The sequence below is a fragment of the Homo sapiens genome, chromosome 2 (genome assembly GCF_000001405.40).
Source record: "Homo sapiens chromosome 2, GRCh38.p14 Primary Assembly".
Taxonomy (NCBI): Eukaryota; Metazoa; Chordata; class Mammalia; order Primates; family Hominidae; genus Homo; species Homo sapiens.
In genome coordinates, this window is record NC_000002.12 from 37,718,331 (window position 1) to 37,737,717 (window position 19,387).

The 19,387-nt window shown below is 40.9% G+C and overlaps 1 long non-coding RNA gene across 1 annotated transcript; it reads right to left on the reverse strand.

Moving 5' to 3' along the window:
• Positions 1 to 1,231: 1,231 nt before the first annotated feature.
• LOC105374465 (uncharacterized) lies at positions 1,232 to 19,242 on the reverse strand. The gene is made up of 3 exons (XR_939971.3): positions 19,073 to 19,242; positions 1,417 to 1,614; positions 1,232 to 1,314 (listed from the first exon to the last, which is right to left on the reverse strand). It is a non-coding gene; the product is annotated as an uncharacterized LOC105374465 (long non-coding RNA).
• Positions 19,243 to 19,387: the final 145 nt, after the last annotated feature.

The following is a 19,387-nucleotide window of genomic DNA, read 5'->3' on the forward strand; positions in this document are numbered from 1 at the left end:
ATCAAACATGATGTGATGAGTGCTGTGACTGAGGTACCCCCAAAAGATAAGGAAGCTCAAGGGAAGAAGAGGTAACTGCTGAGTTAAATTTGATGACTTCAAGGTGGAGGTGACCTTGAAGCTGGGCCTTGAAAGGTATGCAGGATCTTATTTTTTGGAATACAAATAAATGAGAAATAATATTCCACAGCAGGCTCTTTCTCCCCAATGCCCTTCTTCTCATGTGTATTCATGAAAAAGTTAGAAATTAATTAGAAAGATATATGATCAAGAAATAACTACGACAATGGATCTGCAAACCTTCCCTTTGAGCTCTCTGGAGATATGTTCTCCACCAGCACCCTGGTGTCAACAGAAATTCCTGTGAGTGCCAGAGAAAAAGGCGAGCCTGAGCTATTATCACTGGTAATACCCAAGAAGGAAACGCTGTTGATAAGAAGTGGACAGTGTCCTAGACCAAACAGTTTTTATGGGAACAGAAAGTGGAGAGAACCAAGAGACTAATTCCTGGTTTTGTGCATTTGGGGTCTAAGCAATGGCAACAGAGGCGTTGTCCAATTTCACTGTCATGGAGGGGTTGGAGTAATCTCATTTACATTATATCCGCCAGTTTTCTGGACACATGAAATTTAGAAGCACAGAACATCTGTGCTTAAAAGATAAGCTTAAAGTGACAAAGCAAAGGAAAATCGCAGTTTTTTTTAAAGACCCCAGCAGCAGCATAATGGCCAATTTGGACTATGGTCCATTCTCTAATCCTTTAAACTGATTTCGGCACACAGCACTGTGTCATATGTTTGTGCTGCTCACACATTTATGTAGGAGAGGTACAGCCTTTGTGTTTGTTGGAAAAGGTAAATATACCCCATGCAACTGCTTGTCCAAGAAGTGTTTCAACCACTTCTCATCAGCAAGAAGAGAAGGATTGTTAATGTGGGAACTGCAAAAGGTGTCTGGAGCTAAAGCTGTTCCTAGAGGTTCCGAGAACATCACACCCTCAGGCTTGTTTCCAACTCCTGAATTTTGGAGACAAACGGAAAGCAAAGCTCTGATACAAGGGAACAGAGTGATCCTTGCTATGTCTTCTGGATGCTTCCTTTAGCCACAAACACTTTTTCTTTTCCATTTTGATTGGACATTAGCCCCCAACTCTCCAGCTCTCATCTCCCTCTCCCAAGAAGATGGACTTAAATAATGTATTCCTTACCTGACATGGATAGGATACAAAATACACAGGTCAGGTCTCAGTGACTCTGGACGCTTTTGGAAGAGCAACCTCCGTCATCCCCTTCTTGATAAATCCTTTTGGCACACCTTTGGGATATGAACAGACTCTCCTACCCACTGTTCCACCACTTGGGGAAAGGAATCCTTATGTTAGATAGGAGGCCACAATGGACACAAAGAAGTACTCACAGCAAACTAAGCACAGAGCTTTCTCATCTGAAGCAAGATCATGTTTTGAGAAGTCATGGATTCTGTTTTTCTTCTTGTGGTGTCACGCTCAACTTATTCTCCAAAAGCTTATTTAACATGCCACTTGATGTTTTTGAACGGTATGTGATATACTTTATGAAGATTACAATTGCAGGCTCTCACATTACTCGTTTCTGCCTGTTAAAAATGAAGTGGATAAGAGAACATAAGATTTCAATATGGTCATACTATTTATACCTAGCAGGGAAGTGGAAGCAAGGAGGGATTTGCAATCTTAGTTTTGGATATTCAGGGAAAAGTATACATTTAGAAAATAAAAACTTAGCCAAATTGAGTTCATTGCTTTTTGCAGAGATATTTCGCAGTGAAGAACTCAAACGTCTTTAAAGCAGGGCATTATTAACAAGTGTTATCTTAATTAAAAACTAGACTTGGGCCTTGTGAGTCTTCTGTAGGTATCGACAAGGATTGTGGAGGAGGCTTGTATGAATTGGTTGAGAGCCTGGGATTTGTGACCAGATAGGCTTGGGTTTAAATCCCAGCTTTTTCATTTACTTGGGATTTGGAAAAGTTTCTTCAGTTCATCTGTGAAATGGAGATAATAATATCTAGCTTGTAGAGCTGTTAGAGTTGTTCTTGAGGTACAAACATATTAATGTTTCTAAATGTAGTACCTAGCCATGTGGTACATTCTCACCAAATGGTATTAAAACAAGGTGGCTCATACGTACATCATGGGCTCTACAATCCCTTAAAAACAGAGGACCTTTTTTTCCCCAATTAGCAGAGAACAGACTCTGAAGCCATCCTCCATGGGAGGCTTAAGGAAGTGAAATGTGTGGGAGAGGTGAGGTGGAGAGGAAAAAGAGCAGGCAGCACAAGGCATTCTCTGAGTGCTCCAGCACAGCTGGCCAGAGGAGGTCTTTCTCCTTAACGATGATGCAGGAAGTTGGGGCAAAGTAGGCCACCAGTGCCCCCAGAGGGGCCTTGTCTCACCGTGGTATTCAACTGCTTTTTGTCACAAATCCCTGCTCACAGTGAAAGTGTTGTTAAGTGGATGTCTTGTGAAGAAACTCTTAAGAAAATGATGCCTTTAGGAAAAGCGAAAAGCACGTTGAACAGTAGATCACTGTGACCAGGAGGTGAGGGGGTGATGCCATTTGCTTGTAAAGTAACAATGAATACAAACTTTCCAAACCACTCATCTGTTTTGCATGTGTAAAACTGGCATCTGAGCATGTCATTTGGCACAAAATCCCATGGCATTAACGTTTTCATATGGATGATGAAAGTATATAAAAAGCAGTTGCAACATGGGAAGTTGATGTTGGCTTTGGCCAGTGGACTGTTATTCATTACAAGAGTGACAGCTGTGCTAAGGATGGCGCCTACCTTGCCCTTATTTCCCACTCTCAGAGAGGAGGTCATCATCATGCATTTCTCTGCCCACAAAAGCAGCATTCAGATCAGATGTATCCTTTAAAATCACAAAACTTGCCATGTCCTTGATTCACCTTGCTTTTTGGGACCACAACCAGATCGCTGAGATCTCTGAGCCAATGCTTTTTTTTCCCCCCAGGCGAAAGCCTACAGTTGAGGATGCAAGCAAATACACAGAAATAAACCAACCATGTGCCTCCTTTGGGAATCTGATTTGGCCTATGAGTATGGGCCTGAAAATAACTAGATGTTTAATTATGCATCTAAACTTAGTCCATGAATTTGCATGTGTAAGTAATCAGGGAAGTATTTGCTTAGAAATGTGTTCCATTTCCTGTGTTTGCTCTAAAATAAAATTACTGAACAGCAAGATAGGATTCTGAAATATCTTTTTAAAATGTGTTCTAGAGTCCCACCGCTTGTAGCCTGGGATCCACTTAGGTTAGATATCTTTTTGGGGAGGCTACCAATGGCAATCAAGGACAAAAGCCAAAGTAGGTAAAGTGACTTACGATGTGGTTCTCTTCTCCCTCACTCTCTACCCCTACATAAACCAGGCTCATTCATAATAATTTTGTTCTCATTTTGGTAACTGTAGTAAAAACGTTGAGTAGGCACATAGGAGGGGTATTATGAAGGATCAGGAACAGAGCCTGGTAGAATACTACCTGCTTCCAATTCATTCATTCACTCACTCACTCAAATATCTTCAAGTGCCTATTGTATACCAGATAGGAAATACAAAGATGAAAAAACATGGCCTCTGTTTTTAAGAAGGTAATAGCCTAAAGGGGGCTTTATGCAGAGGATGACAATACACTGTGATAGACACTGTTAGTATAGGTGGGAAAGACTGAATGATTGCGTAGTAAGTAGTACTATTACATATCCACCCTTTCCATGGCCTCATAGTGGGTAGAATGTACTTCCCTGCCCTTGGTGCTGGAGTTTTTTGGCTGTGTGGCTTGCCTTGATCAGTGGGATACAAGCAGAGGCTTGAAATGGGCTTGCTAGGTTGGGTTTGAGTCTTTTTTTTTTTTTTTTTTGAGACAGAGTCACACTCTGTCGTCCAGGCTGTAGTGCAATGGTGCGATTTTGGCTCACTGCAACCTCCGCCTCCCCAGGGTTTAAGCAATTCTTGTGCCTCGGCCTCCAGAGTAGCTGGAATTACAGATGTGCACCACCATGCGCAGCTAATTTTTGTATTTTTAGTAGGAATGGGGCTTTACCATGTTGGCTAGGATGGTCTAGAATTCCTGACCTCAAGTGATCCACCCTCCTCAGCCCCCCAAAGTATTGAGATTACAGGTATCAGCCACTGTGCCCTACCAAGTCCTTGAGCTTATGCATCTCTACTGGTGGAGCAAGGGCTATTCCAGCCAACCTGCAGATGGATGAATGATAAATAATGCTTCTAGTTGTATTACACTGAGATATCATGATTGTTTATTTGTACAGCAAGAGCTGACTGATACACTAAGACTACTGCAGGAAAATCTATGAGGGGCTTCAAATTCAGGCTTGAAGGTCTTGAGGAGGATCCTGAGAAATGGTAATGACTAAGCTGAGACCTAAAGGATAAGTGGTCTATATGTGCGTGTGTAGGTTTGGGGATGGCTGGTTATAGAGTGTAGAAAGAAGGGCAGACAGAAGGAATGGAGGTAAGAGAGAGCCTGGCTTGTCCTCTGAGCTATAAGTAGTGCAGCTTGGCTGCAGCAGGTAGAAAAGCCAACCTTACATAGGGCCACCAACCTGAAGAAAGAGGAAGGCTGGAATCCGGCAGCGTATTCAAGGTTGCTCTCACTGGGCACTGGCCCCTGTCTGGTGTAGCATCACTGAGAATTTCTTTCACAGGAGTTTCTTATAGATAAAAGTTATTCAAAAGAAAGCTTCATGTCATTTTGACTTGTATTCATTTCCTATTACCCATTTTGAAAGTCAGGATCGGTGGGGGCGGTTCCAAGACAGCCGAATAGGAACAGCTCCAGTCTATAGCTCCCAGTGTGAGTGATGCAGAAGACAGGTGATTTCTGCATTTCCAACTGAGCTACCAGGTTCATCTCACTGGGGCTTGTTGGACAGTGGATGCAGGACAGTGGGTGCAGCCCACCGAGTGTGAGCCGAAGCAGGGTGAGACATTGCCTCACCTGGGAAGCACAAGGGGTCAGGGAATTCCCTTTCCTAGCCAAGCAAAGCTGTGACAGACAGCACCTGGAAAATCGGGTCACTCCCACCCTAATACTGAGCTTTTCCAATGGTCTTAGCAAACAGCACACCAGGAGATTATATCCCGCGCGTGGCTTGGAGGGTCCCACACCCACAGAGCCTCGCTCTTTGCTAGCACAGCAGTCTGAGATCAAACTGCAAGGTGGCAGTGAGGCTGGGGGAGGGGCGCCCGCCATTGCTGAGGTTGAGTAGGTAAACAAAGTGGGAAGCTCGAACTGGGTGGAGCCCACTGCAGCTCAAGGAGGCCTGCCTGCCTCTGTAGACTCCACCTCTGGGGGCAGGGCATAGCTGAACAAAAGGCAGCAGAAACCTCTGCAGACTTAAATGTCCCTGTCTGACAGCTTTGAAGAGAGTAGTGGTTCTTCCAGCACGGAGTTTGAGATCTGAGAACGGACAGACTGCCTCCTCAAGTGGGTCCCTGACCCCCGAGTAGCCTATCTGGGAGGCACCCCCCAGTAGGGGCAGACTGACACCTCACACGGCTGGGTACCCCTCTGAGATGAAACCTCCAGAGGAACAATCAGAGAGCAACATTTGCTGTTCAGCGATATTTGCTGTTCTGCAGCCTCTGCTGCTGATACCCAGGCAAACAGGGTCTGGAGTGGACCTCCAGCAAACTCCAACAGACCTGCAGCTGAGGGTCCTGACTGTTAAAAGGAAAACTAACAAACAGAAAGGACATCCACGCCAAAACCCCATCTGCACGTCACCATCATCAAAGACCAAAGGTAGATAAAACCACAAAGATGGGGAAAAAATAGAACAGAAAAAATGAAAATTCTAAAAATCAGAGCACCTCTCCTCCTCCAAAGGAACGCAGCTCCTCACCAGCAATGGAACAAAGCTGGATGGAGAATGACTTTGATGAGTTGAGAGAAGAAGGCTTCAGACTATCAAACTTCTCCGAGCTAAAGGAGGAAGTTCGAACCCATGGCAAAGAAGTTAAAAACCTTGAAAAAAGATTAGATGAATGGCTAACTAGAATAACCAATGCAGAGAAGTCCTTAAAGGACCTGATAGAGCTGAAAACCATGGCACGAGAACTACGTGACGAATGCACAAGCTTCAGTAGCCAATTCGATCAACTGGAAGAAAGGGTATCAGTGATGGAAGATCAAATGAACGAAATGAAGCGAGAAGAGAAGTTTAGAGAAAAAGAATAAAAAGAAATGAACAAAGCCTCCAAGAAATATGGGACTATGTGAAAAGATCAAATCTACGTCTGATTGGTGTACCTGAAAGTGATGGGGAGAATGGAACCAAGTTGGAAAACACTCTTCGGGATATTATCCAGGAGAACTTCCCCAACCTAGCAAGGCAGGCCAACATTCAAATTCAGGAAATACAGAGAACACCACAAAGATACTCCTCGAGAAGAGCAACCCCAAGACACATAATTGTCAGATTCACCAAAGTTGAAATGAAGGAAAAAATGTTAAGGGCAGGCAGAGAGAAAGGTCGGGTTACCCACAAAGGGAAGCCCATCAGACTAACAGCTGATCTCTCAGCAGAAACTCTACAAGCCAGAAGAGAGTGGGGGCCAATATTCCACATTCTTAAAGAAAAGAATTTTCAACCCAGAATTTCATATCCAGCCAAATTAAGCTTCATAAGTGAAGGAGAAATAAAATCCTTTACAGACAAGCAAATGCTGAGAGATTTTGTCACCACCAGGCCTGCCCTAAAAGAGCTCCTGAAGGAAGCACTAAATATGGAAAGCAATAACCAGTACCAGCCACTGCAAAAACATGCCAAATTGTAAAGACCATTGAGGCTAGGAAGAAACTGCATCAACTAATGAGCAAAATAACCAGCTAATATCATAATGACAGGATCAAATTCACATATAACAATATTAACCTTAAATGTAAATGGGCTAAATGCTCCAATTAAAAGACACAGACTGGCCAATTGGATAAAGAGTCAAGACCCATCAGTGTGCTGTATTCAGGAAAGCCATCTCACATGCAGAGACACACATAGGCTCAAAATAAAGGGATGGAGGAAGATCTACCAAGCAAATGGAAAACAAAAAAAGGCAGGGGTTGCAATCCTAGTCTCTGATAAAACAGACTTTAAACCAACAAAGATCAAAAGAGACAAAGAAGGCCGTTACATAATGATAAAGGGATCAATTCAACAAGAAGAACTAACTATCCTAAATATATATGCACCCAATACAGGAGCACTCAGATTCATAAAGCAAGTCCTTAGAGACCTACAAAGAGACTTAAACTCCCACACAATAATAATGGGAGACTTTAACACCCCACTGTCAACATTAGACAGATCAATGAGACAGAAAGTTAACAAGGATATCCAGGAATTGAATTCAGCTCTGCACCAAGCAGACATAATAGACATCTACAGAACTCTCCACCCCAAATGAACAGAATATACATTCTTCTCAGCACCACACCACACCTATTCCAAAACTGACCACATAGTTGGAAGTAAAGCTCTCCTCAGCAAATGTAAAAGAACAGAAATTATAACAAACTGTCTCTCAGACCACAGTGCAATCAAACTAGAACTCAGGATTAAGAAACTCACTCAAAACCGCTCAACTACATGGAAACTGAACAACCTGCTCCTGAATGACTACTGGGTACATAACGAAATGAAGGCAGAAATAAAGATGTTCTTTGAAACCAACAAGAACAAAGCCACAACATACCAGAATCTCTGGGACACATTTAAAGCAGTGTGTGGAGGGAAATTTATAGCACTAAATGCCCACAAGAGAAAGCAGGAAAGATCAAAATTGACACCCTAACATCACAATTAAAAGAACTAGAGAAGCAAGAGCAAACACATTCAAAAGCTAGCAGAAGGCAAGAAATAAATAAGATCAGAGCAGAACTGAAGGAGATAGAGACACAAAAACCCTTCAAAAAATCAATGAATCCAGGAGCTGGTTTTTTGAAAAGATCAACAAAATTGATAGACCGCTAGCAAGACTAATAAAGAAGAAAAGAGAGAAGAATCAAATAGATGCAATAAAAAATGACAAAGGGGATATCACCACCAATCCCACAGAAATACAAACTACCATCAGAGAATACTATAAACACCTCTATGCAAATAAACTTGAAAATCTAGAAGAAATGGATAAATTCCTCAACACATACACCCTCCCAAGACTAAACCAGGAAGAAGTTGAATCTCTGAATAGACCAATAACAGGTTCTGAAATTGAGGCAATAATTAATAGCTTACCAACCAAAAAAAGTCCAGGACCAGATGGATTCACAGCCGAATTCTACCAGAGGTATAAGGAGGAGCTGGTACCATTCCTTCTGAAACTATTCCAATCAATAGAAAAGAAGGAATCCTCCCTAACTCATTTTGTGAGGCCAGCATCATCCTGATACCAAAGCCTGGCAGAGATACAACAAAAAAAGAGAATTTTAGACTAATATCCCTGATGAACATCGATGCAAAAATCCTCAATAAAATACTGACAAACCAAATCCAGCAGCACATCAAAAAGCTTATGCACCACAATCAAGTGGGCTTCATCCCTGGGATGCAAGGCTGGTTCAACATATGCAAATCAATAAATGTAATCCAGCATATAAACAGAACCAAAGGTAAAAACCACATGATTATCTCAATAGATGCAGAAAAGGCCTCTGACAAAATTCAGCAGCTCTTCATGCTAAAAACCCTTAATAAATTAGGTATTGATGGGATGTATCTCAAAATAATAAGAGCTATTTATGACAAACCCACAGCCAATATCATACTGAATGGACAAAAACTGGAAGCATTCCCTTTGAAAACTGGCACAAGACAGGGATGCCCTCTCTCACCACTCCTATTCAACATAGTGTTGGAAGTTCTGGCCAGGGCAATCAGGCAAGAGAAAGAAATAAAGGATATTCAATTAGGAAAAGAGGAAGTCAAATTGTCCCTGTTTGCAGATGACATGATTGTATATTTAGAAAAACCCATCATCTCAGCCCAAAACCTCCTTAAGCTGATAAGCAACTTCAGCAAAGTCTCCGGATACAAAATCAATGTGCAAAAATCACAAGCATTCTTATACACCAATAACAAACAGAGAGCCAAATCATGAGTGAACTCCCATTCACAATTGCTTCAAAGAGAATAAAATACCTAGGAATCCAACTTACAAGGGATGTGAAGGACCTCTTCAAGAACTGCAAACCACTGCTCAATGAAATAAAAGAGGACACAATCAAATGGAAGAACATTTCATGCTCATGGATAGGAAGAATCAATATCGTGAAAATGGCCATGCTGCCCAAGGTAATTTACACATTCAATGCTATCCCCGTCAAGCTACCAATGACTTTCTTCATAGAATTGGAAAAAACTACTTTAAAGTTCATATGGAACCAAAAAAGGGCCCGCATTGCCAAGTCAATCCTAAGCCAAAAGAACAAAGCTGGAGGCATCATGCTACCAGACTTCAAACTATACTACAAGGCTACAGTAACCAAAACAGTGTGGTACTGGTACCAAAATAGAGATATAGACAATGGAACAGAACAGAGACCTCAGAAATAATACCACACATCTACAACCAGCTGATCTTTGACAAACCTGACAAAAACAAGAAATGGGGAAAGGATTCCTTATTTAACAAATGGTGCTGGGAAAACTGGCTAGCCATATGTAGAAAGCTGAAACTGGATCCCTTCCTTACACCTTATACAAAAATCAATTCAAGATGGATTAAAGACTTAAACGTTAGACCTAAAACCATAAAAACACTAGGAGAAAACCTAGGCACTACCATTCAGGACATAGGCATGGGCAAGGACTTCATGTCTAAAACACCAAAAGCAATGGCAACAAAAGCCAAAATTGAGAAATGGGATCTAATGAAACTAAAGAGCTTCTGCAAAGCGAAAGAAACTACCATCAGAGTGAACAGGCAATCTACAGAATGGGAGAAAATTTTTGCAACCTACTCATCTGACAAAGGGCTAATATCTAGAATCTACAAAGAACTCCAGCAAATTTACAACAAAAAACAAACAACCCCATCAAAAAGTGGGCAAAGGATATGAACAGACACTTCTCAAAAGAAGACATTTATGCAGCCAACAGACACAAGAAAAAATGCTCATCATCACTGGCCATCAGAGAAATGCAAATCAAAACCACAATGAGTTATCATCTCACACCAGTTAGAATGGCAATCATTAAAAAGTCAGGAAACAACAGGTGCTGGAGAGGATGTGGAGAAATAGGAACACTTTTACACTGTTGGTGGGACTGTAAACTAGTTCAACCATTGTGGAAGACAGTGTGGCGATTCCTCAGGGATCTAGAACTAGAAATACCATTTGACCCAGCCATCCCATTACTGGGTATATACCAAAAAGAATATAAATCATGTTGCTATAAAGACACATGCACACGTATGTTTACTGTGGCACTACTCACAATAGCAAAGACTTGGAACCAACCCAAATGTCCAACAATGATAGACTGGATTAAGAAAATGTGGCACATATACACCATGGAATACTATGCACCATAAAAAAGGATGAGTTCATTTCCTTTGTAGGGACATGGATGAAGCTGGAAACCATCATTCTCAGCAAACTATCGCAAGGACAAAAAACCAAACACCGCATGTTCTCACTTGCAGGTGGGAATTGAACGAGAACACTTGGACACAGGAAGGGGAACATCACACACTGGGACCTGTTGTGGGGTGGGGGGAGGGGGAAGGGGTAGCATTAGGAGATATACCTAATGTAAATGATGAGTTAATCGGTGCAGTACACCAACATGGCACATGTATACATATGTAACAAACCTGCACGTTGTGCACATGTACCCTAGAATTTAAAGTAATATATATATACATATAAAGAAATATATATATGTGTATATATATATATATATATATATATATATAGAAAGGTAGTTGGGATCAAGTTGACAAGGATCTGGTCAAAGACTAAAATCCAGTGTGTATAATACATATAATCCTCAAATATTGTATACATGAGACTATACTATGGTGTCCATGGTATCCGAACTCTATTTTGGGGTAACACCTTCGTATTATGGCTTTTCTTAAGCCATATATTTTTTGTTTTCAGGATTCATATTCCAGAATCATAGAATTTTAGAATTGATAGGGGCTTTAGGTCTTCTAGTGCAACCTTCACAGATGGCACCAGAGAGGTGAAGTGAGCAGCTAGAGGTCATGCAGTAAATTCTTGGCAGGGCTGGAATGGCAAGTTTTTTCATTTGAGTCTGTTGCCTTCACTCCTTCGCTTCCCCTCTCTTCCTTTTCCACTATGCTGGATGTTACCTGGAATATTTTTGGTTTTGTTTTTTTTTCATGCTGGAAGATATCATTTTTCCTACCGGAGTAGAGCCATAATTGAGCCAAGCACCTGGCTCTTATGGAAAGGCACTATCCACTGAGGGCCCAGCCTAACAGACACACCACCACCACCACCACCACCACCAGCACCACCATCACCACCATCACCACCAGCCCTGTCTCTCTTCTATTTCCCACTGAACCCAGTATTCTAAATATTACTAAATATTTTTCTCTTCTTTTATTTTCTTTTGGTAAAAGGGGCCTTAAATATAATAACCCCCATTGATTTGAAAGGAAGGGGATTTTAACTGGGTTCTAATGACCCAACCAATTTATTTAAATGAATAATAATGCATTTAGCTGCCCAGGATTTGTCATTTTCTTTGACTAATGCAATGTTAGAGAAATATTATAGACTTAGCAGGATTAAATCACCTCACATATGTGTCTCTGTACTGTACCTGAAGCCTACATCATATTAAATGGTAATAGTAAGAACCATTTCCACCTATAACTCATACTGAAAATTGACTTGGTCATGACTCACAAGCACATTGTTAACACATAGTTAAGTATATATGTTTTTTCCTTCTTTTTTTTTCTTTTTTTGTTTGGAACAATTTTAACTTCATGTGACATATACTTTTCTAAAATTTGACTGACACCTTGACTACATACTCCTTTAATGAGATTTATAAACTCAAAATTCAGAAGGTTCCTTTTATTCTGACATATACAACATTGTCAAGATCACCTGAAAAGCCCAGTGATTTTACTACATACCATTGAGTCAATAATTAAACAGAGAAACCATTTAATTATTTGCCAAGATTTTTACCTGTAAAAGTGTCTCAGAGTTAGAAGCTATCCAGATCAAATAACTGGGAAATTAAAATTAATGACCAGAAAAATGACTGGCTTTGCCTTTGGCATTTCTCTTGGATAACAGTTGGCTTCGAGGCAGTTTGTAATCTGGGTTCTATTCCCTGCTTTGCCACAGTTAGACATGTGACCTCAGGCAAATCACATAAGTCTCTGTGGTCTTCAGCCTCCTCATTCATCAAATTAGAAGGTTGAACCAAGTAAGAATTTCTGCCTCTTTCTATGTCTAGCACTTAAAATTATTATCCAGAGAGTGGCTGGTTGTCATTTATTCTCCAGATTCACCTAGATGAGAACCATTATGAAGGAGGCTGAAATTGCAGCAAGGAGTGCACAGGTTGAATTTGAATAACTTTACCATAAAGAGAAATATTGACTGCAGGACTGGATTATGCTGTTAATCTGACTGCTCTTAGGAGTCCTTAAAAATAAATCAATAATATATATGGCCTGCCTTTATAGATATTTTTTGCATATAGACCTACCTGTGGCTAGCATCAATTAAAAAGAAGGACAGACTCTCCTAGAAACAGGGGCCAATTTTACCATAAGTGACTATTTTGTTCAGAATCTTTTTAGGACTCTTAGGCTGCTAGTAACCACAGCCAACTTAAGTGAGTTTGAGCAACAGTGGTTTTAAGGACAGAAGCATTTTATGAAACCCAAGAACAGAAATGCAGCTGGACCTCGGGAGAGGTCTGCAGCTAGGAAGAGAAAAGTTGTCAGGAGCCTTGGTGGGGCCTTCTCTCTATCTCTTACTGCTACTTCTCTCTGATTATTGCTTATATTATTTCCCCTCTACAGAATATGCAATTGCAGGTAGAAGATGCCCCTTTTCCAACCACCACCCAACACATACACACACCCTGCTCCAGGTGACTAAAGTTTGCCTTATCTTCATATAAGGCAACAGCCTGCATTAATTGGAAGGTTTTCAATCCAAATTCCAAATCCTAAAAGAGATGATCTGATGGCCCTGATTGGCTCAGTATGGTCAAGGGTTTATCCCTGGTTCAACCAACTGCAGGGGGGTAGGTAGGGTCCTCTGTTCCAGAGTAGGCTATTGAGCAAGAATTCTTCATTGCACACCTCCAGGGGCACTACTCATATTTTGTTGTGTGTGCATGATACCCAGTGGAGTTGTGCAATGGGAGGTCCTACTGTTGTCTGGAGATAGTTCTCAAGTAAGGGGGACTATTGTCAGCTATAGCCAAAAGGCATTTACTGTATCTAACTAATTGTAGTTGCTAGAAAGTCAACCCTTTCCTCCATACAACTCCCTCCCACTTAACAGACCTTAGCAGCCATGTTTCCTCTACATAGGGCCTGAAATTCTGCCAACCTTTGAGACCTAAAAGACCTGTCTCCTTCTTTACAGTTCTGTATCTTTGTGTCTGAGATGAGCATCTAGTGATAGAAGAGGCAGTGGATCTTCCATGTTTCCCTTCCTGAAAGCCACTCTGATGGCTTTCAAAGGCATCTATATGAGACTTCTTCCCTCTTCCTCTTCATTTAGAGAGAAGCATTCCAAGTGAGTGATCTACTGAGGGGCTGTCTTCTAGAATTTCAGGATTTTCTTGGTTCCATCATCATAAGCAGCCCCAAACTCAACCTCCACTGAGAAGAGACAGTTTTCACTGCAAAAATAAGCCACATGTGTCCTCTCCAAAACACACAGCTCTGCTGGATGTGAACCAGCATTACACACTTTCAATTTATTTTCTTTGATTCAGAACTTTTTCATGCAGATTTATGAACAGTAGATGTGGAGATCAATTTAGCCCTAATTCTGCCTTATTTTACTTGGCCATTCTGGGGACCAAGTCTTGACTCAAGTGGCTACAGTTAAGATAGCAAATCTTTGAAAAGCTGAGCTGCTTTTGTTTGGTGCTTGGCATCTGGTGCATGTAGAATGGCTTGGATCTGATATTTCCTTTCCCTGTAAAGTAAGAACACATCTCTTGAAAAGGTTTGATACAGTCCTGCCAAAGAAGGAAGCAGGAAACTCAAGCCAGCTTGGAGTTTCATGAGCCATGGAAAACTGGCTAAATTCACCATGAAAATAATTTGGAAACATGAAGAGAGTACAGAGCAGCCTCTTTCTAGCCCAGTTTTTCATTCTAGTCTGAGGAATACTATGCATTAATGCATATTTGCTGAAATATGACAATTTAAATGTTATTAATTCATAAGACGCTAGATCAGAATTGTGATCATCTGAACAAATATCATGAAGTTGAACTTTGAAAAATAATGATTGTAGTGGCATTAATGATACAAACAAATGGCCTGAGACTGAACTCTGAAGTGATCAACAAGGTAACTTGCGTATGAATGTGCACATCTTGAATGATGCTGTGTTTACGTAAACTAAGTCTAAAGTATCAAAAAAGCAATTACATTTAGAGCATTACATAATATAGAATTTCATTAATCTGAACAGTTGTCCCACCCCTTAGTCTGAATTAGTGAGGCTTACTTGTACATAAAATAAAGGGAAGAAGTTTAATCTCAGCCTCCAAATCCAGTTCACTCTGGTGCTTTCAAGCCCCTGAAAGTTTCCACATGTGCACAAGTAGCAGACCTTCGCAAAATTTAAAACTGTTAGTTTAGATTCAGTGAATCAGCTATGGTTCTTAGTTTCCTTCAGTCATTCCTACATTCTTCCCGCTTTCCAAAGGTTCTTTTATTTTTCTAGTACATGTATTTTAAGTGGGTTTCTCTGTTTGTTTGATTTTCTGTTTTTAAAGGTTACATTTGGAAGGTCTCATACACAAACATTAATAAAAGTGATGGAGAACAGATTTAATGGCATGCAACCTGAGAGTGTTAATTAGCATGAGAATGCTTGCTACGTGCCAAGAAAGCTGTGTTCAATGCCAGTGATACAAAGATGAATATGTTCCCAGAAAAAAAGACACATAAGATTGTGGAAGATTGTAATTAAAAAAAAAAAAAAAAAAGCAAGATTTTAGTACTGGGGAGCATGAAGATGGAAGTTGAGGAAGGTTCAGTGAGGAAGTAACAATTGAGCTGTGTCCTCAAGATTGAGTAGGAGTTGTTTAGGGTGGGAGGATCAGAAAGGTAGTCTCATTAAAGAGTACCAAAATCTTGGTGTATCAGAGGCTCATCAAGGGACTCAGAGCTTGGAGCAGAAGTTGCCAGGAGAAATGGCAGATGTGGCTTTCCGTGGAGGAGGGCCTTCTATGCCATTATAAGGAATTAGGGTTTTATCTTGAAGCCAGTGGTTTGTAGGTTTGATTGTTTGGTTTTGATCAACATGCTTCCTTTTCAATGAAAAATTCAAGCCCTCAAGTGTAAAAGAGATGGATGCAGAGCAGATTCTTAGAAGTTGAAAGAGGGAGCTTGGGATTCAATCTTCTCAGCCCCTCAGGCTCCCCACAGAAGGCCATCTGAAAGCCAAACAAGAAGGAAATGGGGACTGCACTGTAAGCCTAGAAGTGGTCCAGTGCTGTGTGTTTCTGTTTCTGAAAGGTCAACCTGTCAGCACTGTGGAGTTGGGAACAAAGACAGACAGGAAACAGGGAGACCCACTGGGCCCTGATGCTAGGGCCTGAAGAAAGCATCTCACCATGGGCACAGGCAGGAGGTGTTTCTAAAGCTGGTTAATTAACTAGGGGGAAGTGAAGCATACATTGGGGATGATCCCAAGTTTTCTTCCAGATGCTGGGAGGAAGGCAGTGAGTGATATGGTAGCTTCCAAATTCATTTAACAACAAGAATGTGGCTATTAGATTCTGAGTAGTTTCATTCTAATACAAGACTCTGCAACCAAGTTTGAAATGTGCTGAATTCTCATGAGGAAAGGAGATGCCATGATTAGAGAAGTCATTTTTAAGATCTTTCCTGTTTTGGGATGTGGGAAGTTTTCTCAGAGGCAAGTTTGATACTGAATGAGACCTAACAGTTGTTTTAAATATATCCCTGGACCCTCAGTTTCATTCCTGATGTTTAATCCGTAATTAGTGGGAGACAAAAACTCTAATACTGTCAACCAAATTTGAACTACCTTTTTTGCTGCAAATGTTTCTTGAGGTGTACATAAAAAGTGTAAATTACCATCCTTTAAAAAAAGTCTGAAAAACTTCAAAATACATCTTATTACATGGAAGATGTGTTGGCAGTTTGGGTCTTACAGCCTCCAAAATAAAGACCTCTGATGGAAAACATTACTTAATTTTTGTCGGTGAACTCCTGGAATTCATATTCACAAGGGAGTAAGACCATTCGATTTCCAGAAACAAGGGTGTGGCTACTCTTGTCTCCCACTTCTCATGAAGTGCACCCTTTGAATTAGACCAAGAAAAAGGGGAGCATGAAGCAGCTTTGTTTCTTCCTTAGAAGGAGCAAGTTTGAAGCCATAAAGACTCTATTTTCGCACTCAGGAACTAACTGCTAGCTCTTTTCTAGCTAGCTGGAGTGAGCGCCAGCACTGGGGTATCCTAGCGTGAACAAGAATGCTATTTTGGTCTGTTGTAAAGCATTGTGGAATGCAGATTTTAGATCATTTCATCACATCTACCAGCAACCACAAAACAAACGTTATTTCAGAATGAAGACTATGGATGTAGAAGTACTAAGAGCTAAATAAAAAGAAGATTATAGAGACATTTTTAAAGTTTAATGAATATGCTCACTACCAAAGCTTTGCTTTAAAAAGAAAAAACAAATACTTATACGCAGTGTTGGGTGTTTATACAGTTTGATAAAGGCCAGGTGTAGAGGAGGCATTGAAGAATTCCACTGCGTCTCTCATTGAACCAAAGTGAGAGGGGGAGCACAGAACAGTCTATTACGAGTAATACCAAACCATCTTCCCTAAAAAAAAAAAGTAAAAACAAGGATCCTGTTTATCCGGAAGAAGTCACCTAGAGAATTCAGTAATTTCAAGATAATTAGATTCCTTCCAGAGAGCTGAATGCAGGTTTCACTTTTCTCTGGAGAATATGGCCACTTTCAGAGACAATTAAAATGCTTTTAAGTGTGGCAACACAGTCCCTGGAGAGGAAGGGGGCTTCATAACATGACCCAAGTGGCAGCTGATGCTGCTCCTCTGACTCAGAATATCCTGTGTGTGTGCAGACACTTAATCTTTGTGTCTTTCTCTGGACTTTGAGTAGGAAATTTTAGTCAAGACTCTCTAGAGTACTTTCTATTCATGAAATTAAATGCTTGAAGGATTCTATGATTTATACTAGGCATTAAACTTTACTTCCATTCACAGTCCCATTAGTTTTAATGAGTTAAGGACTTTGCTTTACTTAAAGTAAACAAATAGAAATACTCCAATGGCAAAGGATATTGGACTAAATTCCCCTGGTCCTGGTGTATTCCTCCCATCTGGTACCCTCCTGCCTGAAATGTCATGATTGAAGATCCATTCCTTTAGCTTAAATATTGTCCTCTCTCTTTTAATTTTAATCTAAATCTGGATTAATTTTAATTTGAATCTGGGAGGAAAGGCACATTAAATCCCTTGTGTGAACTAGTTAATCCTTTTAAAAAAGTTAGAAAGTCTGAAAAAAAACAAGAATTGGTAAGGATGCAGAGGAATAGCCACTCCTATACAGCAACTTCTACTTTTTTTGAACAGTTTGGGGCCAGGTTCAGTGGCTCTCACTTGTAATCCCAGTACTTTGGGAGGCCTAGGTGGGAGGATCACTCGAGCCCAGGAGTTTGAGAACAATCTGGGAAACATGGTGAGTCCCCACCTCTATAAAAAGAAAAGAAAAGAAAAATTAGCCAGGTGTGATGAAGAACACCTGTAGTCCCTGCTACTCGGGAGGCTGAGGTAACAGGATCACTGGAGCCCAGGAGTTTAAGGTTGCAGTGAGCTCTGGCTATGCCACTGCACTTCAACCTAGGTGACAGAGTAAGAACTTGTTTCAAAAAAACAGTTTGAGAAATTCCAATTCTGGCCTAGATGGAGTAATAGGGACTGAAATTACCTGCCTGAAACAACCTAAGAAAAATCTGATAAATTAGATGAAATTATGTTTTTTTAAGACAAGGAACATCACATAATGAAGGACCGAGATCCCTGAGGGCTGAGAAACAAACAAGGTGAGCCTTACAATTATTCTAGCAATTGCCTTGAAAGAGTTTCCAGGTGTATTAGTCAATTTTCACACTACTATAAAGAATACCTGAGACTGGATAATTTATAATCAAAGAGGTTTAATTGACTCAGTTCTGCATGGTTGGGAAGGCCTCAGGAAACTTACAATCAGGCAAAAGGCAAAGGGGAAGCAGGGCATGACTTACATGGCGGCAGGAGAGACAGCATGCAGGGAGAAGTGCCAGATACTTATCAAACAACGAGATCTCCTGAGAACCCACTCACAATCACGAGAACAGCATGGGGGAAACCACCCCCATGATCCAATCATCTCCCACCAGGTCCCTCCCTCAAAATGCGGGGATTACAATTCAAATTACAATTCGAGATGAGATTTGGGTTGGGGACACAGCCAAACTCTATCACCAAGCAACATCACAGGGAGGGGTAGCCCAGGAAGAGCTCAACAGACTACCTGAATTGAAGAGATAGAGTTGGTAGTCTGAGGAGACTTGAGCTGATAGGGCAGGGTCTTGAAGGGGAGCTGCACAGGGGGAGAACCATGGAGATCTCTGGAGGGGCCCTTTCAACTCAACAGAGTACTGACCAGCACCTGTGTGTGGAGAGACTACTCAAAGCCAGCTGGGGAAAAAACTATCTGAAAGGATTAGAAGGAACGTACTCACACTCACACCAGGCTGATAGTAATGCCTGCTTCTACCAGCCAGACTGGAAATCTTCACAATTCACAGGATACTGAGTAGATTATTCAGAAGGGTCTTCCCTTCACAGTGGGAAATAATTATCTCTAGACTACATTTTTCTGGCCCTGTCTAACAAATCTTTAAAGCAAGACTTGAAAGGATCAAACTGTTTTTAAACAACTCAACTGTGTCCCAGAACAAAGCCCAAGAATATTTATGGGCAATACAAAAATATCCAGCACCAAACAAGATAAACTCACAATGTCTGGCATCCAATCAAAGTATACTAGTCATGCA